The sequence below is a fragment of the Homo sapiens genome, chromosome 6 (genome assembly GCF_000001405.40).
Source record: "Homo sapiens chromosome 6, GRCh38.p14 Primary Assembly".
Lineage (NCBI taxonomy): Eukaryota > Metazoa > Chordata > Mammalia > Primates > Hominidae > Homo > Homo sapiens.
The window spans coordinates 14,683,548-14,708,876 of NC_000006.12; the positions used below are offsets into that span (position 1 = coordinate 14,683,548).

General features: G+C 40.6%; 1 long non-coding RNA gene across 2 annotated transcripts in view, besides 1 other annotated feature; it reads right to left on the minus strand.

Annotated features, from left to right (window-relative positions):
• LOC101928354 (uncharacterized) overlaps positions 1 to 25,329 on the minus strand; it is a 131,186-nt gene that overhangs the window by 97,244 nt on the left and 8,613 nt on the right. The window lies entirely within an intron of this gene.
• Positions 22,351 to 23,550: an enhancer, noted in NCBI's record as "P300/CBP strongly-dependent group 1 enhancer chr6:14706129-14707328 (GRCh37/hg19 assembly coordinates)". NCBI's record gives its function as "activates an origin of replication core promoter dependent on BRD2, BRD4, P300/CBP, MED14 and CDK7 cofactors, with strong dependence on P300/CBP, by STARR-seq in HCT116 cells {active_cell/tissue: HCT116}" and the evidence as "EXISTENCE:reporter gene assay evidence [ECO:0000049][PMID:35650434]".

Here is a 25,329-nt window from a genome sequence, read left to right on the forward strand (position 1 = left end):
ACCCGATTAAGGGTGGGTCTGCCTTCCCCAGCCCACTGACTCAAATGTTACCCTCCTTTGGCAACACCCTCACAGGCATACCCAGGATCAATATTGCATCCTTTAATCCAATCAAGTTGACACTCAATATTAACCATCACACCAGGTGAGTACTAAGTCTGACATGTCTTCTCTTCACATCAACTGGCCCATCAAGTCACTTTCCCAAGAGTTTCACAGCCGCAAGATGAATTATACCCCGCTCACAGCCCAACCTTCTCCACCAGGTATTCAGAAACTAGCTTTGGCCAAATTTATAAAAATGGCAATAATTTCATCCCAACCCACTAGAGTCCGTGTGTGAAAATGAACCCATTTCACTACTACCAAATGACAAGCACTTTCAGTCATCCTCCTGCCACTAACAGGTCATTCTCTAGGCTGTGATGGCAAAGCCAGCAAGGCCAGTTGCCCACGTGGAAATCAGACCCACAAGGGCACTGGGTTCCAACCAAGTGGGTTTACTGTCCTCTACTTGGTTCATTACATGAGGAAAAAGCCCAAGTGGGTGGACTGTTGATCTGTTAAAATGGTTTAAGACCCAGAAGAACTAAGAATCAAGACCTTGATTCTAGAGAATTAAAAAACACAGAAAAATCACTTGAGAACTTGAATGTCTTCTTGCTCCTCACCCCACTCTTGAGAATTACAGAAGAGAAAGACAGAGAGCTTTGCTAAGTGTTGAGAAACCAGCTTTGGAGAGATCTGGTACTTTGTACAAGTGGGAATGATCATAGGAGGAAAGGAAAGGAAGAAATTGTACAAGGACACCAGAGCAATGAAAAGAAAAACTCGAGGAGACATGTTAGACCATAGTAGCTGATTTGAATCAAGCAAGACATAGATTTGGGGCAGGCGTTTCTGAAAACACATGCCTCAAATTGTATTTCACAAAATTGCTGTTAATGCCCTACAACTTGTAACATGCTGCACCTTCAGGAAGACCCTTTTGTATTATTAATATTTTATTGTTTTTATAGTAGGCACCATAGGAGTGAGTATGTGGGAGTGAAACTGTACGGGCAAGCTCTTTACCAGGCATCCAGGTGGCAGCTCAAAGCACTAGTTTGAATGATTCCATTACAAGTTAGATGCATATTTATGCCTCAGATGCTTTCTCCTTCATAAATATTTTCTCTGGTGTCTCCATGTTCTTCCCTATCCATTTAGGGATCAGTTAACCCTATAATCAAACACTACTGCTCAAGCCATGGAAACAGACAGTGTTTCCCAAACAACAGTAAAAGGAAGAGAAATCCATCCAACATGCTATTCTTATCACAATATTAACAGGTTCCTGAGGAAAGACTTTTCCCTCACTTTGATCTGCTGAGATTACCAGAAAAATAGAGGCTACACTTAGAAAGAAAAAAAGAATCCTTACTATAGGATAGGCCAAGTGAGAAATTTTATGAGTCAAACAAGTAAGGACGATGATAGAAAAAAAAATGATGAAAATAATTGCAGCCAACATTTATGGAGCACACAGGCCAGGCCTTGCGCTGAGTGGTCTATGTGATTTATCTCACATAATCTTTCCAGCCACCCTGTAGGGTAAATGTCATTATCCCCATTTCACAGATGAACTAACTGAAACTCAGAAAACACTGCCAAGTTCCTAAGCTATTAACTGGAGCCAGCCCTCCGATTTAGGTTTATCTGATTCTAAAGTCCATGGTGCTAATTACAATGCTCCTTGCCAAAATGAAAGTTTTCACATGCCCAAGGAAAATGCTACCAATCCCCTCCCAGAGGATTCTTGCTCTTTTTGTCGAAAGATGCAATTTTTACTGCAAACAATCTGTAGCTCATATTGCTGGCATCCCAGCATGGCCAGGTCTGCTGCTCTGGAAGCAAGAGGTCATTTTCTTCTTCCTAACCAAAGTAAGCAAAGCACACTTGGTCTTTGGGCTTAAAAAAAAAAAAAAAAAAAAAAAAGCCAAGAGACATAAACAGGTGAATATAGTTGTTGCAAAGACAAATAATAAAAATGAAGCCCCTGAATGTATTGGAAGGGAAAAATGAGTGCCCTGCAGTCAAGACATAATTGCTAGAGAGCTAAAGAGAAGAAAAAGAAGGGAGAGAAAAGCCAAAAAAACAATTCAAAGCACAAAATAAAGGCAGAGAAAAGTAAATGCTTTTCTTGGATAATTAAAACCAGGGTCTTACAAGATATGAAGTTAGATACTCGGTGAATTATATATTTCTAATTCCTCTCCCTAAGTGCCACAGGCTAGAGACAGCCTCCCAGGTATTAATGAAAAGGCCACAGCATGGTGCCCTAAATTCACTGCGGTGTGCCTAACCTAACAAAATACGCTCGAAAACCCAGGGAAATGGCAAAGTCAATTCCTTTGATCAGTTGATTTCTTCTTAATGGTAACTGTTCTCAAATTGACACCCTTCCCCCCACCCCCACTACCAATGCCATCACACACGTGCACTGCACGGCACATACACAGAGAAGGGGACAATTCAAAGAATCTTTTCTGGAAGGGTTGCTTTGTCTTTGAAAAGTGCTTTATTACTGTTAGTCAAATTTAAAACTACATTATCATCCCGCTGCTGAACTAAGGCCTCACGACTTGACACACCTAGCAAGGCTGGAGCAGTTCCAACACTTAGACCAAAATGAAGGGACAGCCCAAGACAACAGAATCCTCCTTCTGTTTTGGGGCAGCTCTTTTTCATTCCCCATTTCCAAGTCAGCAGTCCCCAACCTTTTTGGTACCAGGGACCGGTTTCGTGGAAGATAGTTTTTCCATGGACTGGCTGGTGGTGGGGGATGGTTTCAGGATGATTCAAGTGCATTGCATTTATTGTACACTTTACTTCTATTATTATCACATTGTAGTATATAATGAGATAATTATACAACTCACCATAATGTAGAATCTGTGGGAGCCCTGAGCTTGTTTTCCTGCAACTAGATGGTCCCATGTGGGGGTGATGGGAGACAGTGACAGGTCATCAAGGTGTTAGATTCTCATAAGGAGTGTGCACCCTAGATCTCTCGCATGCAGTAGGGTTCGCCTTCCTTTGAGAATTGAATGCTGCCACTGATCTGTCAGGAGGTAGAGCTCAGGGGGTAATGCAAGCGAGGGGGACTGGCTGTAAAAACAGATGAAGCCTGGCTCGCCCACCTGCCCACCACTCACCTCCTGCTGTGTGGCACGGTTCCTAATAGGCCACAAACTTGTACTTGTTAGTGGCCTGGGGGTTGGTGATTCCTGTTCTAAGTGGATAAAGAGCAGGGGTGTTAAAGGCCAGTACTGCTTCACTCCCTGTTTCCTGATGCTCGGTCTCCCTTCCTCAGAATCTTCAAATCTCTGCATTCGTCTCCTTCCAAAACTTCTCTCCAACTAGGTCTAAGGCCTGATCAGACTCTGCTGATGGAGATGTGAATTAATACCATCTTTGTAGGAAGCGATTTGGCAATGTGTATTAATAATATCCTCTTCTGTGAACCACACAAAAGTACAATACATACAAAAGATTTATGCACAAAAATGCTAATTACAGAATAATTTAAAACTGGAAGGAAAAATACAGTGCCCAATTATGGGAGAATGTTTGGGTAAATAATAATCTACTTATTTATGTAAAGATATTTTTGTCATTAAAAGCGATTATAATAGGCTAAAAGTAAAAAATAGCTATGAATTCATTTACAGTATAAACTCAACTATATAAAATACCACCCACAGAATGAGGGAAAATGCTACTTGTAGTTAGCTCTAGGTGGTAGAATTATGTTTATATGCACAAGAATAAAGAAATAGTATTTTTCTCTTAGGCGTGTTTTCCTTTATTGTCCAAGTTTTCTACAACGAGTGTTGATGTCTTTTTTTTTTTTTTTTTTTTTTTTTGAGACAGAGCCTCACTCTATCACTCAGGCTGGAGTACAGTGCCACAATCTTGGCTCACTGCAACCTCCGCCTCCTGGGTTCAAGCAATTCTCATGCCTCAGCCTCCCGAGTAGCTGGGATTACAGGCCTGTGCCACCATACTCAGCTAGTTTTTGTATTTTTCATAGAGATGGGGTTTCACCATGTTGGCCAGGCTGGTCTCGAACTCCTGGCTTCAAGCCATCCACCTGGCGTGAGCCACCTTGCCCGGCCAGAATGTTGGTGTCGTTTTTTTTTTTGAGATGAAGTCTTACTCTGTCACCCAGGCTGAAGTGCAACGGCACTATCTTGGCTCACTGCCAGCTCCGCCTCCTGGTTCAAGCGACTCTCCTGTCTCAGCCTCCCGAGTAGCTGGGATTACAGGCATGTGCCACTACACCTGGCTAATTTCATTGTATTTTTGTAGAGACAAGGTTTCATCATGTTGGCCAGGCTGGTCTTGAACTCCTGACCTCAACTGATTCACCCACCTCGGCCTCCCAAAGTGCTGGGATTACAGGCATGAGCGGTGTCTTAAAGCAACAAGCTGCAGTATTTAAGGGTAGTCTTGAGTGAGAAGACCCCACCTCAGACACACCCTGGACTCCCCTAGAGCTGCCACTGAAGAGCTACGTGACTTTGGTCAGGTTACTTAATATCCCTAAAACCTCAGTTCCCCCAACAGCAAAATGATAATTTTATTGATATAAGGATTAAATGATTTAATATAGGTAAGACACTTGAAACAGTGGCACCAAGTAAACATTCAGCAAATACCCATTCTTATTAAACAATTATGGAGTGACCATAGTGTGCCAGGTTGAATGTCAAGCACTGCGGCGGATACAAAGGTGACTAAAATTGGCTTCTTATTCTTGAGGGGGAAAATAAAATGTAAAGAGATATTGTTGTTTTTCAGTATCCGTGGGTGATTGGTTCCAAGACCTTCTTGTGGATACCAAAGGCAGTATCTGTGGATACTCAAGTCCCTTAAATAAGATGGCATAGTATTTGCATATCGTCTAGGCACAGTACCCATTTATATTTTAAATTATCTCTAGATTACTTATAATATCTAATACAATGTAAATCGTTTTTTCTACTGTATTGTTTTTTATTTGTATTTCTTATTGTTACATTGGGTTTTTTATTGTCTGGGGGTTTGTTCCTGAATATTTTCTATCCAAGATTAGTGGAACCCATGAACGCAGAACTCACGGATACAGAGGTCAACGGTTGTCACAATTCCATGGGGTAAGTTCTGCGTGGAAGAGAGATACAAGATTCTGCGGGAACAGTGAAGAGAGTCCCTAACTCTGGCAAGTCAAGAATTTTCACTACCACTGGAATTAGAATCCCTCAAATAGTATTAGATCCAAATATCACTTCATCTTCATATATTTTAAGCGACTCAGTGAGAAGTGAGTGTGTCTATCTGCAGGGTAACGGGCCCCATAGGAAGGAGGTGGTAATTTGCAGATTGTGCTTATCTGCACCATCCCAATTTATTCTCACAGGACACCTATAAGACTAGTGACTTTTCAATATGGCTTAGAGAGGTAAAGTGGGCTGAAGGTCACTCAACTAAATAAAGAACAAAGATAAGACACAAACCCGGGTGCTATGAGAGAGAACTTGATGTCAGCAGAGATGCTACAGAAAGGATTTCTCTGTCAGAAGATGTTCATGTTTTCATTCATTCTACAATTTCTACTACTATTTTAGAAATGGTGTCACAGGAGGAAGAGGAAGGGGGAACTAAAGAAGATCTAAAAAGGGGGTTTTAAGCCTGCCAAACCTATGTTTGTCTACACAGTAACATTAGGATCTGAAAGATATGTTCTCTGTAAACATCTCTATTTGACAAATGAATCTTCCACACTGTGATGGGGGCAAAAGGGCTTTGGTGCCCCAGTGAATTGGTAGACAGTTGGAGAAGGCCAGATATGAGAAATAGTTTGGACAAGCTACCCCTAAAAATTCACGCTTGATATAGGAATTCTGGAATGAGGCACAGGCTACTTACTTCCTGATCGAAGGATCATTGATCCTATACTTCTTCATGCCTCCTAACTTAGGCCTACATCTGCTAACTACCTTTGAGCCTATCACTCATCCCTGAGAGTTTCTTACGTGCACACAGCTATTGAGAAGTAGCACTGTAGTCTAAAGAAAATAGCAATGAACTTGGAGACCAGTGACCTGAGATCAAACTTAGTTCAACTATTTATTAGTTGCGTGACTTAACAAATAGCTTTCCCTTCTCTGGGCTTTAGCTTTCTCTTTCATAACATTGAAATAATAATACCTACCTCTTAAGGTTGTTGGGAGATTAGATGAAATGCATTGTGTAATTTGAAGCACTCAGCAAAATGATTTGGCTCATAAATAATATTACTCACTCTTCTGAATAAAATAATGGATTCTTGGCGATACTTAAAACTACATCATCAGCCAGGCACGGTGGCTCACGCCTGTAACCCCAGCACTTTGGGAGGCCAAGGTGGGAAGATCACCTGAGGTCGGGAGTTCGAGACCAGCCTGACCAACATGGAGAAACCCTATCTCCACTAAAAATACAAAATTAGCCGGGCGTGGTGGTGCATTCCTGTAATCCCAGCTACTCGGGAGGCTAAGGCAGGAGAATCGTTTGAACCCGGGAGGCAAAGGTTGCAGTGAGCTGAGATGGCACCATTGCACTCCAGCCTGGGCAACAAGAGCAAAACTCTGTCCCCGCCCCCCCCCCCCCGCCAAAAAAAACCTACATAATCAGCATCACAGATCAGTCATATGTCAAGAGTCATATGTTCCTGGCTGCTCAGCACAAGTCAGTCAGTTGGACCATGGCTAAAGTCACTAACAGACATTTTCCATTGGAATTGGCATTACCATAAAAGGAAGAGTCTCCTTTTTATTCAACTCCAATGGCCTTCACCCAAGTTGATGGATTAATCCACTGTTTTGAACATCTAGGTCAATAATTATCGTTGTCATAGAAAACTGAAAGCTACCATAGGATAAAAATAAATCTCTACTAAAACCTACATTTCTGTATAGAATCTGTGATCCTATTAATTGCTCTTGATCAACACATTCTTCCATTGCCAAAATGGGCCTTCTTCATACAATAACAGCCAAGCAGACGCTTAACAATTTCACCAACCATAATTCTGTGCAGTCATTGTCATGAGTGATGAAATATGATTAGCAAATTACAGCTCTGGTATTTTAAGAGAACATAAAAAAATGAATGGATTGAGCTGTTTTGCATTTTTCAGTGGAATTATTTAAAAGGAGTGGGTAATGGAGAACTCAAGACTGATGGCTAAAAGAAAAGGCAAAAATAATGTTGCCACTTCACAACCTATCAACATAATTCATCTTTGTCTCCTGTCCTGAACTGTTGTGTCATGTTGCTGTTACATGGTTAAACAGCTGCTATTTATTTCTGGCATCTTTATTTTAGTTCTGGATAAACTGACCTGAAATTTTAAAAAAATTATTCTATATCGTTCTTTTTTTTTTTTGTGAATGGAGTTTTGCTCTTGTCGCCCAGGCTGGAGTGCAATGGCACAATCTTGGCTCACTGCAACCTCCGCCTTCCAGGTTCAAGTGATTCTCCTGCCTCAGCCTCCTGAGTCACTAGGATTACAAGCCACCATGCCCGGCTAATTTTTTTTTTGTATTTTTAGTAGAGACCGGGTTTTGCCATGTTCACCAGGCTGGTCTTGAACTCCTGACCTCAGGTGACCTGCCCGCCTTGGTTGGCCTCCCAAAGTGCTGGGATTACAGGCATGAGCCACCATGCCCGGCCAATTATTCTATATCTAAATGTGTAAAAATGACATCCTCATCATGAAGTTTCACATTGTGTTTTCCTTATAAATTAGGTCACTTATAACAATATATCTGGGACTTGAGCAATGAATTAAACTCCTCCTGTAGGTACAGGATGTTCCCTGTCTTATATCACATCTGCTTTACAATGAACTATATTGTTCAGGGTTCTCGGAAATCCTGTCCAAAATAAAGGTGTGTTTCTACTTTCAAATATCTTATATTGATAACAATAGTGCTTTGGAATTGCTAACTTTTTTTTATGTCTTCAAATCCTAGGCTTATCATTGTTATACCTCTCCCACAGAGTTGGCAGTCAAGCAAAATTCCATACAGCCTCTTTTATTTTCCCATTGATACCATTATAAAATTAGAGGCACATTCCTATGGAAATAAATTTGGCCCTGAAATGTAATTTTAAGATACGTTTAAGAATGCAGCATGCATTTTAAGCACATATTTCAAAAAGTAAAGATAATTTTTGTTAACTAATATATTCAAAATAGCTATACAATAAGGGAGAGGGCACTGGACTTGGGTTTAAATGCAGGCTCTACTGTTTACCAGACATGAGATTTTGAGCAAGTCATTTACCCTTGCAGAGGTAAAATTTTTCTGAAAAATAAAACTAAGAATGCTTACTCTATAGAGTCATCATAAGGATTAAGGAGCCCAGCAATATAATATCTGATCTATAATATGGATTTAGTAAAGATTACTTAAATTTAATGAGTGACTAAAAATAAACTACAAAAATAAAGTGTTGAAGCTACCATTTGGCAGTTTTTTACATAAAGTGCTAGCACTGATAAAAAATACAAAATGGTTTTTAGTTTCTGAATATTTTCAGTTCCAAGTCTCACATTGTCCATACTTTTTAAAATCCTCATTGACATTTTCCAAATTATACATATCATCCAAAAGTATACAAAATTAAATATTTCAGAAAAACATAATACAGATGATGAAAGTTTTTCATGATTATTGAATTGATAATTTTTGAGCCTGGATTCAAACCCAAGTCCAGTTAGGGTGACTACCCATCCTGCTTTGCCTGAAACTGCCCCAGTTTATGCCTGTCACCCTGGCATAAAGTATTCATTGTGCCCCTTTCACTCTCAAACGGTCTCTGTGTGGATGACAAATATGTGGCCCTTCAACCCATAAATCTGCCTCTAAAAGAGAACCCATTACCTATCACTGGTTGCAAAGTCCTCCATCTCTCTTTTTCTCTTAATTATCAGTTATTCTTAAAAAGTATTACTTGTTTCTTTTTTGCAATTTATTTTACTTTTTCCTCTTATTTTACCAATTGAATTTTTGTAGAAACATACCTCCCAAGTGTGTTAAATTTCATATTTGAAATTAGACTGCATACTTTTTGTCGTAAATATAAATTTAAGAAAAACATATATTTATATTATATATTATTATATTATATAATTGTATATATTACATATATAATCTAATGATATATAATGATATATATCTAATGATATATAATGATATATTATATTATATATATTATATATTATAATATATATAATATATATATTATATATTATAATATATAATATATTATATATTATAATTATATATAATATATATACATTATATATAAATTATATATAATATATATACATTATATATAAATTATATATAATATAAATATATTATATTCTATATCCATCATTTTTGAGCCTGGATTCAAACCCAAGTCCAGTTAGGGTGACTACCCTAATATAAAATATATAATTTTATATTACCAAGAATGTGCGCTAGTGAGTCAAAATGAAACAAGAGTAGTAATGCTACCTTTTAAAAACTTTCACGAACAAGGTAATTTTATTTGAGTTCTGTTCTGTAAATCTCATTTAAGTGAGCATAGATGCAGAAGTAAACATTATTCAAACAAGTGGAGTTTAGTAAAATCTCACTAGTTTGAAATCCAACATTTTGGAATTTGAGATCATTTAGACAGGATCTGAATTTAAGTTTACCCTTTCTTAAGAAGTCATTTCTTTCTGACAGTGTAAAGAAATATTTTAAATAAGATTTTAGAGCCAAATATTTAAGAGATCAAACTCAATATTGTAAAAATTTACAAAAGAAAAAGACACGATTTAGCCCAATTTAATTTATAGCATGAACTTGAAAGTTATCTGATTATCTATTACACAATTCTATAATTCAGACTGTTTCTTGAATTAGAAAGTCTACTGAGATGTTAGGGTAAACTCCATAGTTTGGCTATTCCACACCCATCTCCACTTGTCTTGCAAAGACATTCTTCCCGCTTGCTTTACAGCCAGTCATAACCCAGTCTTACCCAAGTCCCTGGAGGGGAGAGAGGGAAAGGGAAGGGTATTGGGTCTTTTAAGATTTGCTTTCATGATAAAGGAAACAGACATGGCTGGTGCTGCCTGTTCCCCGCACTGCCTGCCTTGAACGTTTGGAGCTGCGACTGCCATATTGCAAACAGGAGGGAAGGGCCAAGAGCACTGCAAAGACTCCAACTCTAATAACATTGAACAGATAAACCAATACCAGCTGCTGCCTCGCTCCAAACTTCTCCCTACAGGAGAAAAATAAACCCTTATTTGTTTAAGCTACTGTGGGCTGGATTTTCTGTTGCTTGGGGCCAAAGGCATTCTGAACTAACAGAACAGCTTACTGGGGCCAGGTTTCGATGTGATGTTGGCACCTACACAGGAGAAGCTAAGGCAAACCCATGTACAGACTGAAGGCCTGAGGCACGTTCTAACTATCAGAGCGCAGATGGAAGTAACAAGGCTGACTCCAAAGTAGACTCCAGCACAGACAGACAAGCACGGGGCAAGGGTTTGGGCACTAGCAAAGGTCAAGAATGAAGCAGAAAGAAACCTTGCCGAGATGAGCCTATTTTATTTTAAACTGATGTTTTGCATCCTGCTAACAAGTGATGTGGTTTCTTTCCAGCATTAAAATAAGAAATAGCTCCTCCTGAATTGATTTTGCCTTTTTATTTTATTTCAGTTTTAACTTTGAAGTAAATATTCCCAGAACCTCAGGCAAAGCTATATTCAAATATGAATGTTGAACCTGTTCCAGATGTAATTTTTTTGAATTATGAACTGCTATTTAATAGAGTAGCAGGCTCTAGAGTCGAAATGCCTTGTCCTCAAGCCTACCTCTACCATGTACCAATGCTATCAACCTGGACTTGCATTTCTGTGCCTTAGTTTTCTCATCTGTGAAATGGGAGGAAATAGAGAACCTCCCTAATAAAGTAATTGTGATAAATAACTAAGATGTACACTATTTAAAAGAGTAAATGGACAGTGTTGAAAATAGTACATGGAGCACTAACCACTTGATAAATATTAGGCATTATTATGGGTATTTAAAAGTCCATTCTGCATATATGTATGTGTTTATATGTATACAATCATTTATATTTTACTTTATATTATCAAGTAAAACATGGAATTATTTTTTAATTTCATCATCCAATCCTTTAGATGCCCCAAAGGTAAACCCAAGCAACCCCCTAGTGAATGAGTTGTCCTTAATCTCTTCTGCCTCTATTTTTTAAGTTCTGTGTCTATGCTCATTTGGTTAAGATTTGTGAAACAGAACTCTGAAAACCATTTACCCTTATTTTCATGAAACCTTGAAAGAATACAGGCTCTTTGTTAAAAGACCTCTCAAGCAAGCCTTCTTCAGCATCAACTGTTAGTATTTCTCCACACCACCAATTAGTAAACATATGTTTTGCATTTTGTTTGCTTGGTTTTTGCCTTTTCATCCTTACTTGACTTGCAAAATTGTAGCCTATGTCTGTTTCTGGGAGTCTTCATCTGGAAACAATGGGAATTGTTACCATTTCCATGTTTCTTGTTTGTCTTGTTTTGTTTTGTTTTTGAGGTGGAGTCACGCTCTGTTGCCCAGGCTGGAGTGCAATGGCTTGATCTCAGCTCACTACAACCTCCCCTTCCCAGGTTCAAGCGATTCTCCTGCCTCAGCCTCTCGAGTAGTTGGGATTACAGGTGCCTGCCACCAAGCCCAGCTAATTTTTGTATTTTTAGTAGAGACGGGGTTTCACCATGTTGGTCAGGCTGGTCTTGAACTCCTGACCTCAGGTGATCCACCCGCCTCAGCCTCCCAAAGTGCCGGGATTACAGGCGTGAGCCACCACGCCCAGCCATTTCCATGTTTCAATGCATGAACTGTTCTTTTGCACCTCTGAGCCACTTGCCTTTCCACATATTTTACATATTGTTGTTTTGTCTTTAGGTCACCTAAGAATTCCCAGTTTTTCTTTCCTTTGGTGAAAATGGCTTTTCCTTCCCCATTCATAACAGCTTGTTCCAAATAGCCAGCACCCCTCCACCTCCTCTCCCTACCAACGTGCCATCCGGTGTTTCAGGCTTCCTGAAGCCTGCTGTGTCTGCCCAGCTCCTTCTTGCATCCCAGCATTTAGAATCCTGAGTGCTTCCACTGCACGATCGCTATCTTCCAAATTGCCTTCCTGTGCTGCAGCTGCCACGACTCCTCAGCCGTGGTCAGTGTCAGGTCTAAAAGACCTGTCCCCTTGCTGGCTTCCCTATATCTCCCACATTAAAAAGTTGTCATCCTCACATTTCACTTGTCAGCAACATGATGCATGAATCAGATATTTCCTTTTACTCTTTCATCTTTGCAGCACGTTAAGAATTAGTGTCTAATGACACAGAGGTGAAAAGTTAATGGAAATTTAATTGAAAAAACTACCATCCCAGCAGGAATTGAACCTGGTGGCCTCAGCACAGGAGGTAGATATTTCATCCACTAGGCTTCTGAGTTTGGTTTAGCATATAGGATATAGGTATCACTTTGGTAAACAGATAATTCCCATATTTTCCCAGTATTACTTTGGTCAACAGAATGAAGAAAAGAGTGGATTCCAATTTAAATGTCAGGGCTGTCTACTTTAAGGATTCTGAACAGGGGAATTTTAATGAAAATAGGATTTAATTTCCTGTAAATGTTTGAGTTCTTCAACCCTAATATATAGAAATAATGAATATTTATACATGTGAAACACATCTTCTTAGCAGCATTTAGTTAGACATACCCAAAGGAACTCCGGGAGAATTTTTTCAGGTATAATGAGTTACACCTCAAATTTTTCTAGGGAAAATTACGTTACCTAAATACTTTCGTTCCTTTCTTTCACATGGTTCACCAGAAGCCTAAGTCACATGGAGAAACATATACAAGGTATACAGTTACGATGATTCAACAGAGTAGAAGCCTGCAGGAATTTAGACCATAGGGCTGTCATTATATGTTTTTATTTTAAAAATAAATTAAGCTTAACCAATGTCTTATATCCAGATTAGCCTGGAGTTTTCACTCAATCTGCAATACTTAAGATAGATGAGGTTTCCTGAGCAAAGTGGGAATCTTCCAGTGTTCCAGAACATGGTAAGGTTGGAAGGGATTATTTACTTTCAACCCTGTGTTTGCTCTCAGTACTTTGCTATTTACTTGTGCCTAGGTAAGTGGCCATATGCATTGCAACACGTAATTTTAACTAAATTAACTTTCAAATCATTAAAAAAAAAAAAAAACTGTAAAAAAGTCACAGAGGCCAGGCATGGTGGCTCACGCCTGTAATCCCAGCACTTTGGGAGGCTGAGGCAGGCGGATCAGCTGAGGTCAGGAGTTCAAGACCAGCCTGGCCAACATGGTGAAACCCCGTCTCTATTAAGAATACAAAAAAAAAAATTAGTTGGGTGTCATGGTGGGCACCTGTAATTCCAGCTACTTGGGAGGCTGAGGCAGGAGAATAGCTTGAACTTGGGAGGCGGAGGTTTCAGTGAGCCAAGATCATGCCATTGCACTCCAGCCTGGGCAACAAGAGTGAAACTCTGTCTCAAAAAAAAAAAAAAAAAAAAAAGATTCATAGAAAGAAACCACAGGTCCAAAATACTGCAAGTACTACAAACCCCAGCAAACAACGAGAAAATGACAAGACCAACACTTCTCTCACACTCAGACAAACTCTTTATCGCTCATGTTAAAAAGGGAAGAAAAGATAAAAAACACTGAAGATTTTACTTGCCAAACGTCAGCCAATAAAAAAACCCTCTAATTAAAGAAAAAAAACTTATATAAAATTAGCCAGGTATGATGGCACATGCCTGTAATCCCATCTACTCGGGAGGCTGAGGCATGAGAATCCTTTGAACCCAGGAGGCAGAGGTTGCAGTGAGCTGAGATTGCATCACTGCACTCCAGACTGGGCAACAGAGCAGATCCTGTCTCAAAAAATAAATAAATAAATAAATAAATAAATAAACAAACATATTTAAAATAAGGACTTATACTCACAATAGTTAATAATGAACCTTGCAATAAGTATCTACTGTGACCTGAGATATAAACTAGTGACGGTATGAAATCATCAATTAGCAAGACATCAAAAGAGAAGCATACAGAACTTGAAAGCAATCACCTACAATGTTTCTATGCTTAAAGTCATGTGATATCCAATCAAGGGTTTACAAAACTTTACTAAGCTTAATGATAAAAATAATATAAATGGCTTTTTGAATTGTTAATAAAAATAACATTTCTAAAATATTTTTATTTTATCTTCATTCATTATATTAAGACAATATGCAAAATAAATAAATAAATAAATAAATAAAATTAAATTTAAAAAAATATATGCTAAAAAAAAAAGTCCTAAGATGTTGGATCAAAACAGTTTCTAGGTTTCTTCTCTATGGAGGATGTAGTAGCAGAAATCTTTTTTCAGGAATCTGAGTCTTTAAATTTTTCCTAATGACTTTTCTAAGAACTCGGTGCTGGCTGGGAGCAGTGGCTCACGCCTGTAATCCCAGCACTTTGGGAGGCTGAGGCGGACGGATCACTTGAGGTCAGGAGTCTGAGACCAGCCTGGCCAAAATAGTGAAACCCTGTCTCTACTAAAAATACAAAAATTAGCTGGGCATGGTGGTGTGCGCCTGTAGTCCTAGCTACTAGGGGAGGCCAAGGCATGAGAATCTCTTGAACCTGGGAGGCGCAGGTCGCAGTGAGCTGAGATCACACCACTGCACTCCAGCCTGGGCAACAGAGCGAGACTCCATCTCAAAAACAAACAAACAAAAAAACAACTCAACACTACATTTGCTATTCATGCCTTTAGATCTATATATAAATCCCTTGCCTTTCTTGATAACCCATCCATTTGGCTTAGCAGTTAACAGTATATCTAGAATCAAGCAGACCTGTGTGGAATCTGCTCTACCATTTGCTAGCTGGATGACTTTGGAAAGTTATAATCTTTCTGAACTTCAGTTTCCTCATTTGCAAAATAGAAATAACAATACCCATCTATAGACCAAAACAAAGCATGTAAAGCACTTGGCACAGTGCTCAGGTATGTGATAGGAGCCCACTAAATGTCAGCTATGATTGCTATTGCTATTATTATTATTATTATTATTGTCATTCACCTTCAGGTAGTCAGCTTTCCAGCTCCATTGAAGCCCTCACTGTCCCCTTACCTGCTTTCGATCACTCATCCTGAACACCTTTCTCTCAGCTATACATGGTCAAATACTATTTGTGCTTTCCTGTCCATCTTATTTATTTATTTATCTATTTATTTATTTATTTAGACAGGGTCTTGCTCTGTCACCCAGGCTGGAATGCAGTGGCACGATCTTGGTTCACTGCAGCCTTGACTTCCTGAGCTCAAGCTATCATCCCACCTCTGCCTCCCAAGTAAATGGGGATACAGGCACACGCCACCACACCCAGCTAATTTGGTTTATTTTTTGTAGAGTCGATGTCTCACTATGTTCCCCAGGCTGGTCTTGAACTCCTGGACCCAAGTAATCCTCCTGCCTCAGCCTCCCAAAGTGCTGAGATTACACACCAGAGCCACTGTACCCAGCCCTGTCCTCTCGGCTCACTGCAACCTCTGCCTCCCGGGTTCAAGCAATTCTCCCACTTCAGCCTCCCAAGTAACTGGGACTACAGGCATATGCCACCATGCCTGGTTAATTTTTGTATTTTTGTAGAGATGGGGTTTCACCATGTTGCCCAGGGTGGTCTCGAACTCCTAAGCTCAGGCAATCCACCTGCCTCAGCCTCCTAAAGTGCTAGAATTACAGAAGTGAGCCAGCGTTCCCAGCCCCTGTCCATTTTAAATACTACCTGCTCTATTATGTCTTCTCTAATACTGCCAAGCCAGAAGCAACTTTCTCCTCCACATGCAAATAACACTTTATTTGCTTACTTTCTGTGGAGCTTATTGTTTTCTCTTTTGTATGTAACATATGCAACATACATATGAATCACTGGCCTATAGGCTGTACTCCTTTCTAGAGAGTTTCCTGAGGATGTGGATCATTTTCTATTCATATGTGTCCTTTCCAAAGTGTTCAGCATAGAGCCTTGCCCTTTGTGACAATCAATAAATATGAGTTGAATGAATTAATATTTCTGTCCACTCAGTGCAAAACGTTTGCTCAAAGGCAAAGGACAGGCAATGAGGAGGGTCATAGGGTAATCAATATCTCAATCTTCGTGTCCCCAATCCCTGTCACATGTTACAGTAAATAAAGTGATATGACGTTTACCTAGACATGAAACTTCCTTTCCTTTTCCCTCCCTGCCATTAACTTGGCAATCTTGAGGAAGTCATTACCCATTCTAAGCAGCAGCAACCTCATGGATGAAAATAGGAAGTTGGGTCAAATATCTAAGGACTCTTGTGTTTGTAAAATCCAGTATCTCATATGTCAGACAATTTCTTACTCCCTGATATGGTTTGGATGTTTGTCCCCTCCAAATCTCAAGTTGAAATGTGACCTCCAATGTGGGAGGTAGGGCCTAGTGGGAGGTATTGAATCATGGGGGCGGATTGCTTATGAATGGCTTAGTGCTATACCCTTGGTGATGAGTGAGTTCTCGCTCTGAGTTCACATGAGAATTGATTATTTAAAAGAGTGTGGCACCTCCCCTCTCTCTCTCTTGCTCCCACTCCCATCACATGACACACCTGCTCCTTTTTACCTTCCACCATGATTGAAAGCCTCCTGAAGCCTCACTAGAAGTCAAGCAGATGCCAGCACAATGCTTCCAGTACAGTTTGCAGAACCATGAGCCAATTAAACCTCTTTTATTTATAAGCTACTCAGTTTCAGGTATTCCTTTATAGTGACGCAAAATGGACTCGCACACACGCACAGAGACAAAAGTTTGCAGGAGGGAGCTGAAGCATCAAAGCCACTGAGAGAACAAGTGGGATCCAAGCATCAAGGTTGAGTCCAGGAAACAATAGAAGGATGTACATGAGGAGCAAAGGGTTGGTTAAATGTGAGGTCAGACCTAGGGAAAAACCCATCAGGCCAAGAACAAGATCCACAATGGAGGCTGGAACATGACAAACAGCAACAACAACAAAACATAGTCCACATCAGCTAGCTCAACCAAGAAAATTTAATATGGGGCTCTTGCAGCAAAGGTATCAAAAAAAGATAAGTGTGTGAGGTAATGCATATGTTAATTAGCTTGATTTAGCCATTCCACAATGCATACAAATACTAAAACATTATGTTGTATGCCATAAATACATATGATTTTTATTGTCAATTTTAATTTTTTAAACACACACAAAACCCAAATGAGATTGTAAGGCAGCCCATAGATTGACAATGTCAAAAAGTCACAACCCCTTCTAGGACTGAGGAAATAAAGGAAGGAGGTGATGTTACCCATGCCCACATCCGGGCTGGTCCAGCAGGAGGGATTGTTCCATAACAGCTAGAACAGATGAGACTCAGCTACCCACAAATACACTCTCCCAAGCAGGAAACAAGAGGGATAAATACCTTGGCTTCTCCCATTCTCCTACCTTCCTATGACTCTCTTGGCCAAACCCAGCTGTAAAACCCCTGGCAAGATCGTTTGGGAATAGGGTCTATAGGGGTTAGCATCATGAAGTAAAAAATAGCAGGGGAAATCAGAAAAAGCTCAGAGAGAAAATAAACAACTAACCAACCCAGATGGTGTTGATGGTAGCTTCAGAGAGGATTTTTTTCCAGAATGGGATTTTTTTTTTTTTTTGAGACAAAGTCTCACTTTGACACCCCAGCTGGAGTGCATTGGGGCAATCTTGCCTCACCACAACCTCCGCCTCCCAGGTTCCAGCAATTCTCCTGCCTCAGCCTCCCAAGTAGCTGGGATTATAGACATGTGCCACCACGCCAGGCTAATTTTTGTATTTTCAGTAGAGATGGGGTTTCACCACGTTGGCCAAGCTGGTCTCGAACTCCTGACCTCAAGTGATCCACCTGCCTCGGCCTCCCAAAGTGCTGGGATTACAGGCGTGAGCCACCACATGGGGCCTACGGGTCTGGTACTTCTTTGAAGTTCCCGCCCCCAGCTGTTGCCATCACTCCTTGCTGTAAAGTATGGATGCCTTGGGGGTAACTAAGAAGAGATGTGCTGACAAATGGCCTGGCCTGATAAAATGGGGTTTAGATGTAAAGACTCTGTTATATATACTTAGTTGTGTAAATTCAAGAATTCTCCCCAAGATGCTTTTTAATGTGTTAAACTTACTTGTAACTCATGCTTTTCCGGCTTAGTGCATCCCAGACTAGAATATTAGCCTTGTTTTTCCAAAAGGACATTGATCTTATTGGCTTACCATGTAAACTATTAATTTAGCTTTAACAGTAAACCCATATTCCAAAAGAAACATAAAGTCCAACAGTGTGTTTTCCTGCTGAGTGCTGAAAAACAAGCTTCCTTTTTTCTTTTCCTTTTCTTATATTTCACAATGATATTCATTGACTTACAGCTGTCATTTGTGAAACATACAGTAAAACGACACCACATGCATATTTAACTTACACAAATTTAAGTACGTCTATTACAGAGAGAAAAATAGAGAGAGAGAAGCACACAGGGTCAGTGTAAGGAGAGAGAGGAGAGGGAAGAAATTTTCCAGTTACGTGGCGATTCTACCAACCATTTCACTTAGTGAGCAAATGTACCGGAGTGAGCAGGAGATGTGAGATGTGAATCTATTCTGCCCTGAATCAATTTTTGTTCCTGCTTATCTCTCAGAGCCTCTTGCCGAGATACTAATGTTTAAGGATATGGCACTGGAAAATTACATACTCCTTACATAGTCTTAACTATGGTATGTTTTTGTGTATAACAATAGAGTAAACTATGCAAGCTGCACAAAATGGGCAGCTTTTTAAGAGTGAATTTTTAAAAATATAATAGATTCTTAAAAATAGATTCACTTAAAAAGTGAATTCACTTTTTAAGAGTGAATTTTTAAAAATATAATAGATTCTTACCTTCCATGCTGACTTTAGAAACTAAACCTCCCATAAAGTGTCATTCCAGTGCATGTACACTAGGATTGAAAATTCAACTAAGAGGCTGGCAATGGAGCAGGACAGGGAAAAAAGAGCTTCACAGTCTTCCAAGACAAAAGTATTAGCCTTAGTATTAAAGAGCGAGAGAGAAAGAGAGAGCAAGAGAGAGAGAGAGAGAGTACACTGCTGAAAATTAGTATAGGTGCAGAATTTATCCTCATAGGCTATCCCCAGAATGGTACTGCTTCGAGATTTGTCATATGACTCAACCAGTTACTTCCTTTTCCTGTGCCTCAGTCGTCTCTCTTGTAAAATGGGAGCATAATATCTGCCTCTTATTTATCATCCCAAAAGAATATATAGTGATTCGATATAATTAGTAGGCGATCCATTCTCTAATGTTGAAATGATTAACCTAGAGAATCCAAGAAGACAGCCACTCTTTCAAGATGGAGTCTTGCTCCACTGCCCAGGCTGGAGTGCCGTGGTGTGATCTTGGCTCACTGCAACCTCTGCCTCCCGAGCTCAAGCAGTTCTCCTGCCTCAGCCTCCCTAGTAGCTGGGATTACAGACACGCGCCACCACACCTAGCTAATTTTTGTGTTTTTAAGAGAGACAGGGTTTCACCATGTTGGTCAGGCTGGTCTCAAACCGTGGTCTGCCTGCCTCGGCCTCCCAAAGTGCTGGGATTACAGGTGTGAGACACCATGCCCAGCCCCCGAATTTTTGATTGAAATAACCCATCCTGGGTCTATTCACGCCAAAGACGGCCAAACTTGGAGGTGTTGGAACAATTACAATAGTATGACTGTCACTTTGAACAACAATGACAAAATCATCATGATACTCTTAATCTAATATCTTAGGAGAGAAAATTTCCCAAGCTTAATCCAAATCTAAAAGGCTTCGTTTGATCTGCATCAGCTTTCTAATCTGACTTGTGTCATAATCCAAATACATAAACAAACAACCTAACTGGGAAAATCTCATGTGAGCTCCCACAGTCTGAAAAGCTGCCATCACTAATAAGCATTACTGCACTCACTCTCCCTAAACTCTCCACCCCCTGCTGCGTTCCACAGTGCAGCTCTCTCTAACATGCCAGGTCAATGCTGAGAAGGAACTTAAACCACAAAGGACCAAAAAGCAAATATTTTTGCCCAGAGCTAATGTAGCAAATTACATGCAAGACCTAAACTCCAAGAACCTTTTAAATGGCATGAGCCTACACAAACACGCGGTATCCGGTTTGCCAAGGGTTGAAAACTAAATTAAATTTCAGTCAAGTTCTACTGGCGATTTATAGAACAGTTAAAGGACCAGGGATCTGGTCTTGGCAGGGCCGCTGATGTACATGGTCTTCCAGGTAAGTAATTTCTCTCGTTGGGCTTCTGTTTGCTTGTCTATGATGCCAACATTCTGCTCTGAGTACAGAGGAATCATGAGAGTGCAGCAGGGTGCTCAGAGCTCCATGCAAGATAGGTGTCTATGCACCACCAGAATTTCATCCAGAATGTCTTCTTTCAAGTGCTCAGTTACCCTAACTGGTCTGCCCTGTATGACTGTGCAGTCCATAAACTGCAAAAGGGCACAAGTAGGATCTGAAGCCAAGTCCTCTTTCGGCCTTGAGCAGAGCCACATCTGACTGGAGGGAGCTGCCTCTTCTTCACATGTGGGCGCTATCTGCCCTCCTTGCCCAGAAGGTTCATCAGCTCTGAAGAGGCAACGTTTTCGAATTCCCTTCTAGATACCAAATGATGACCTGAGCCTTAGCCAGGAACGAAGCAACTGTCAGAATTGATGCCATTTGCAAAATGCCAGATGAGAGAAATGTTTGCAAACAGAGCTGCTTTGGAGAGAATCATAGCCGGGATGAACATTTGTGGTCAGAAGCAGGAAGCAGGCAGACATATTGGATTGAGAGCTGCCTTTGCACCCCAGCTACATTACCTCACATTTGACTGGAGTCTCCATTCCCTGCCTCTTTCCTTGTGGCTGCATCCCCAAGAAGCAGTGAAGAAGAAACTGAGGAAGCTTATTTAGAGAAAATAAGTGCAGTAGGGAAACTGGCCATGGCAGTGTTGCATAAAGAAGCCTTGGACTTAATCAACTGCATCTGCCTTTGTTTTCCTCCCACACTCAGTCGGACACCAGATAGCAGTGGTGCTTATTTTTTGAGAACTTGAAGGAAAATGCGTGTTTTTTTTTTTTAAGTCAACGTGTGCCATCAGTTCTACATCATTTTCATTTCTGACCTTCCTTATGCTTAGATTTTCAAGCAGTATTTCAACCAGGCATTTTTATCCTTGTCTATCAGTAGGGAGATGAGACACTGTCAACGATCGATCACAACATTTTCACAGATCCTGTGGCTTCAAATGTCACCCTGAAAAACCATGCTAGCAGACTATCCCCCAGTGCCTGGGAAGACCTGCAGGAAGCTGGCCACCAAGAGAAGGCTTGGTGGCCGAATCCAAATTCAAGTGCAGAAGGCTGGCAACACAAAGCCCTCAATGCAGACAGTACATGCTGGCCAGACAGAAACAGGCAACCCAACCAACATTCATGGCTACTGACCAACTACTTTTTTGAAATTTCCATGGATTCTGAATGTTTCTGAGTTGGGGAGGGTGAAGAGGATGTGGAAGAGACAAAGGGAGTATATTCCTCACTCCCTGACATAAACCATTACCAGAAAATTAGTGTTTGGAATTATACCTCTGACAATGAGTCATTTTTGTTACCTTTACTCTTTTCTGTACTTTTCCTAATATTCTACAAGCAATGAGTGGGTTCTAATAAACAGGAAGAAGGGAAAAGTATGTCTTGTTATCCAAACTTAGTTGATTCCTAAGTTCTGATGGTGAGTGTTTGGGTAATGGGTTTGGAGAGGAAAAAATCTATTTGGCTCCTGAGTTTCAGAAAACAAAAATTGAAATTTCAGAAAGTGCTGAGTTTATCTGAATCCACTTGCCTCCTGAGTTCTGAGGGAAAGACTTTGGATGGCAAGAGGTCAAATAGCAAGAGATGCCTATATAGAACTTTTAATAAATAACCCTTTTCCTCCCCTTCCTACATAGAAGCACCAAAATTATACCTCAGTAAACAGTTTTGCAACATCCGTGTCTGGCAAAATGTATACCAAAGAACTTTTACATGCCAAAACTTAACATTCATTTTTGGTTGCTTTTTAAAGTCAGGAAGTCTCCAGGGTTCCTCATAGAAGCAAAGAAATGGGGGACAACCCAGATAAGGCGAGTTTCTTTGTCAAATTCACACAATGGAAAGGCTTAAGTTAAGATTATTTTTTAAGTAAACCTGTGTTCTTTCACAGACTCTGCCAGTGAAGTAAGGCCAAAAGATTCAAGCAAATATGAAGCACGACTTCTCGGCCTCAGCCCACAAAGTCTTTTCTTGTGTTTTAGACAAATTGAATTAGAGAAAACAAAGTCCTGGCCAGACCTCTATGCCCTATGCCAAGGAACTGGAACTTGTCGAGCAACTAGGAACTTGAACTTCACCCTACATACAATACTAAAGAAGAAATATCATGGCTGTCAAATGAACAAAGTGTTGCTAATACACCTCAAGAAAAGATGTAACCAGAGAAGGAAAATGTTGTCTATAAAAAGTGAAAGGTGAGATCAGGCCTTTTGGAGATTTTTTTTTTCCTTTTTTTAATATCTTCCAAATATATCTGAACTTGTTTCCTACTTGGACTTATTTAATTTTCCCTGATGTACTTCACAGATGTGAGTTGTGCTTGGGAACACGACTCAGAGACTGCGTGGCTCTGACACAGGCATCAGGCGTGTGCAGCTCCCCCGCAGTTTCCCACAGCTTCACCGTCATCCACTCTCATGTCCCTTCAGAGTGCTGCCCACTTCCCGCCCAGCAAAGGACTGCATTACTCAGCACACAGCGACCCCTGACTCAGTCGATGTGGGAGGAGATCGTCATCAAGGCTGATGTGAGTCTAAGAAACATCCTGACTGGCCTAAGAAGACCATCGGGACTTGCCAAGTGGCCCCAGCTCATGGGGTTCATTCCTTCTTCTCTTATTGTGTTTAAAAGTGGTATAATTAGCAACTTGTTGAAAATGCTGGCTTACTTCCCGTTACCAGGGCTCAGCACGCCATACTCCCAATCATTGGTCCAAGCAGACATGTTTACTAAGTGAGTGGGGGATGAGAAAGAGAAAGGACAGATGTGAGGGAAATAGACAGAGCTGAATAGCACCTCACAATGAAACACACGAACTCCTGGGAAATTCTCATTTTAACACAACTGTAGTTCCCATGCGTTGGAACCTAATGTTTACCTTCATAACGGCTCCATCAGAAAGGCACTGTCATCATATGAGAAAACCAAGGGTGAAAGATTAGGTAATTTGCCCAAGGTCTCTTTAATATCTTCCAAATATATCTGCACTTGTTTCCTACTTGGACTCATTTAATGAGTTAGGAAATGAGGGAGCTGAGTTTCCAAACGAAGCCTAATCCCTGCTCTTTTGACCTCTATAAAATCTATCAGAATATTAACAAAGGGTGTTTAATAAAATGAGTTTGGATAGAGAACAAAGAAAACCCAGAGGTATTTGGAAAATGGTTTGTTCCAAGATCTTCTAAGTTAGCTATCTCATCATTGTCATGTTATTCTTGCTACTGCTGACAACCTAGCTTCCTGTATATAAAGAAGTATCAAAGAAAATACTTAATATTCTGCTTTCTTCACAAATACTCTCCTTCCAACTTCCCTTATTTCTTTTCCTCAGCTCATTTCTGTGTTGGCCAATCAAGGTCTTCCCAGGACTTCATCAGCATGAGACCAGCTCCACCTCCACACCTAACACAGCAGGTCTCCTCCAATTTCCCAAGAATCCTCTCTGAAGTCTGGCAGACCTTGTATTCAGCTGTATAAATGCTGCCTTCATCAGCAACCAAGACTTCATCTTCCCAGGCCCTCTTTGAGCCAGCCCCACCTACACCCAATCCTGGCTGCTTGAATTACAAACACACCTAGAGAAGGGCTTGTGACCCCTAGACCTGGCCCACCAGTGGCTTCTGCCATCCAAATACAGCTTGGCCCTGACAGGTACTTAGTAACCTGGTATTTGTCCTTCATCCACTCCCTGACTCCTTCCCCAGAACAACAGTTAAAGACCTTCTCACCTTGTCTTCAGCCCCATTCCTGGTTGAATAATACCCTTCTCCTCCTTCACCGAATAGCCAGAGCCCTTCTAGAGTCAACTTTGCTCTGAGGCCCCCTTTATCTGCATGCATCCCTTTCTCCTGCCTCTCCCCCTTCCTTTCCCTTGTCTTAAGACCTATTCCCCCTCAACAATCCTCTACAAATCCTGCCCTGGGTGTTTCCTTCCTCTGCTGAGGTCCTGAAGCACTTCTTATTGGCAACCTTCATTTGGCTTTGAAGGTACATTGCCAAATATCCCTTATCTTTTTTTTTTCCCTTTTCTTCTCTTCATATTTTAAATTGCACAAACAACAGTCTGGCTCATCTCTTTCTATGCACATATCCTGTCTACCCAACCCAATTGGGTGTCCTCCAATGCTTTGTCCTTCCCATCTGCTCATCTCCCTCCTAATGATTCCCTTGGAGAGGGCTCATCCACTTGCAGAGCACCATGGATACTACACAGATTCTTGCCACCAAACCTTGTTCAAGCCCCCCTGGCCTTACCGGCCTTTCTCCTTCTCCCAATTAATCGAAATCTGCACTCTTTCCTCAAGGCCACCTCACATTCCAATCAAGCCTTCTCCAACAAACACAGATCCACAACTACCTGTTTCTCCTCTGACTTTCTATAGATATTTTAATGCTTATATATAGTCTTGTTTTATTGGACCTCCTTTTGGACCGTAAATACAGTGAGAGTTTCCTGAGGACAACGACCAAGGCCTCAGCGTTGTGTTTCCCTAACATGGTGCTAGGTATTCTGAGGGTGCTTATTCATTACGTGCTATCTATAACACATGCAAAAAATAAAGCATAATTCAGACTTTTAGTTTCAAATATGGCACAGTAAACTAAAGCCCTAGTAGCTCTAAACTGAGCAAAGTCTGCAGCTAAAACTGAGCAAAAAATCTAAACCCTTGGAGTGAAGGATTTTGTGTATTTAAGAATCTCCTTTCAGCCGGGCATGGTGGCTCACACCTGTAATCCCAGCACTT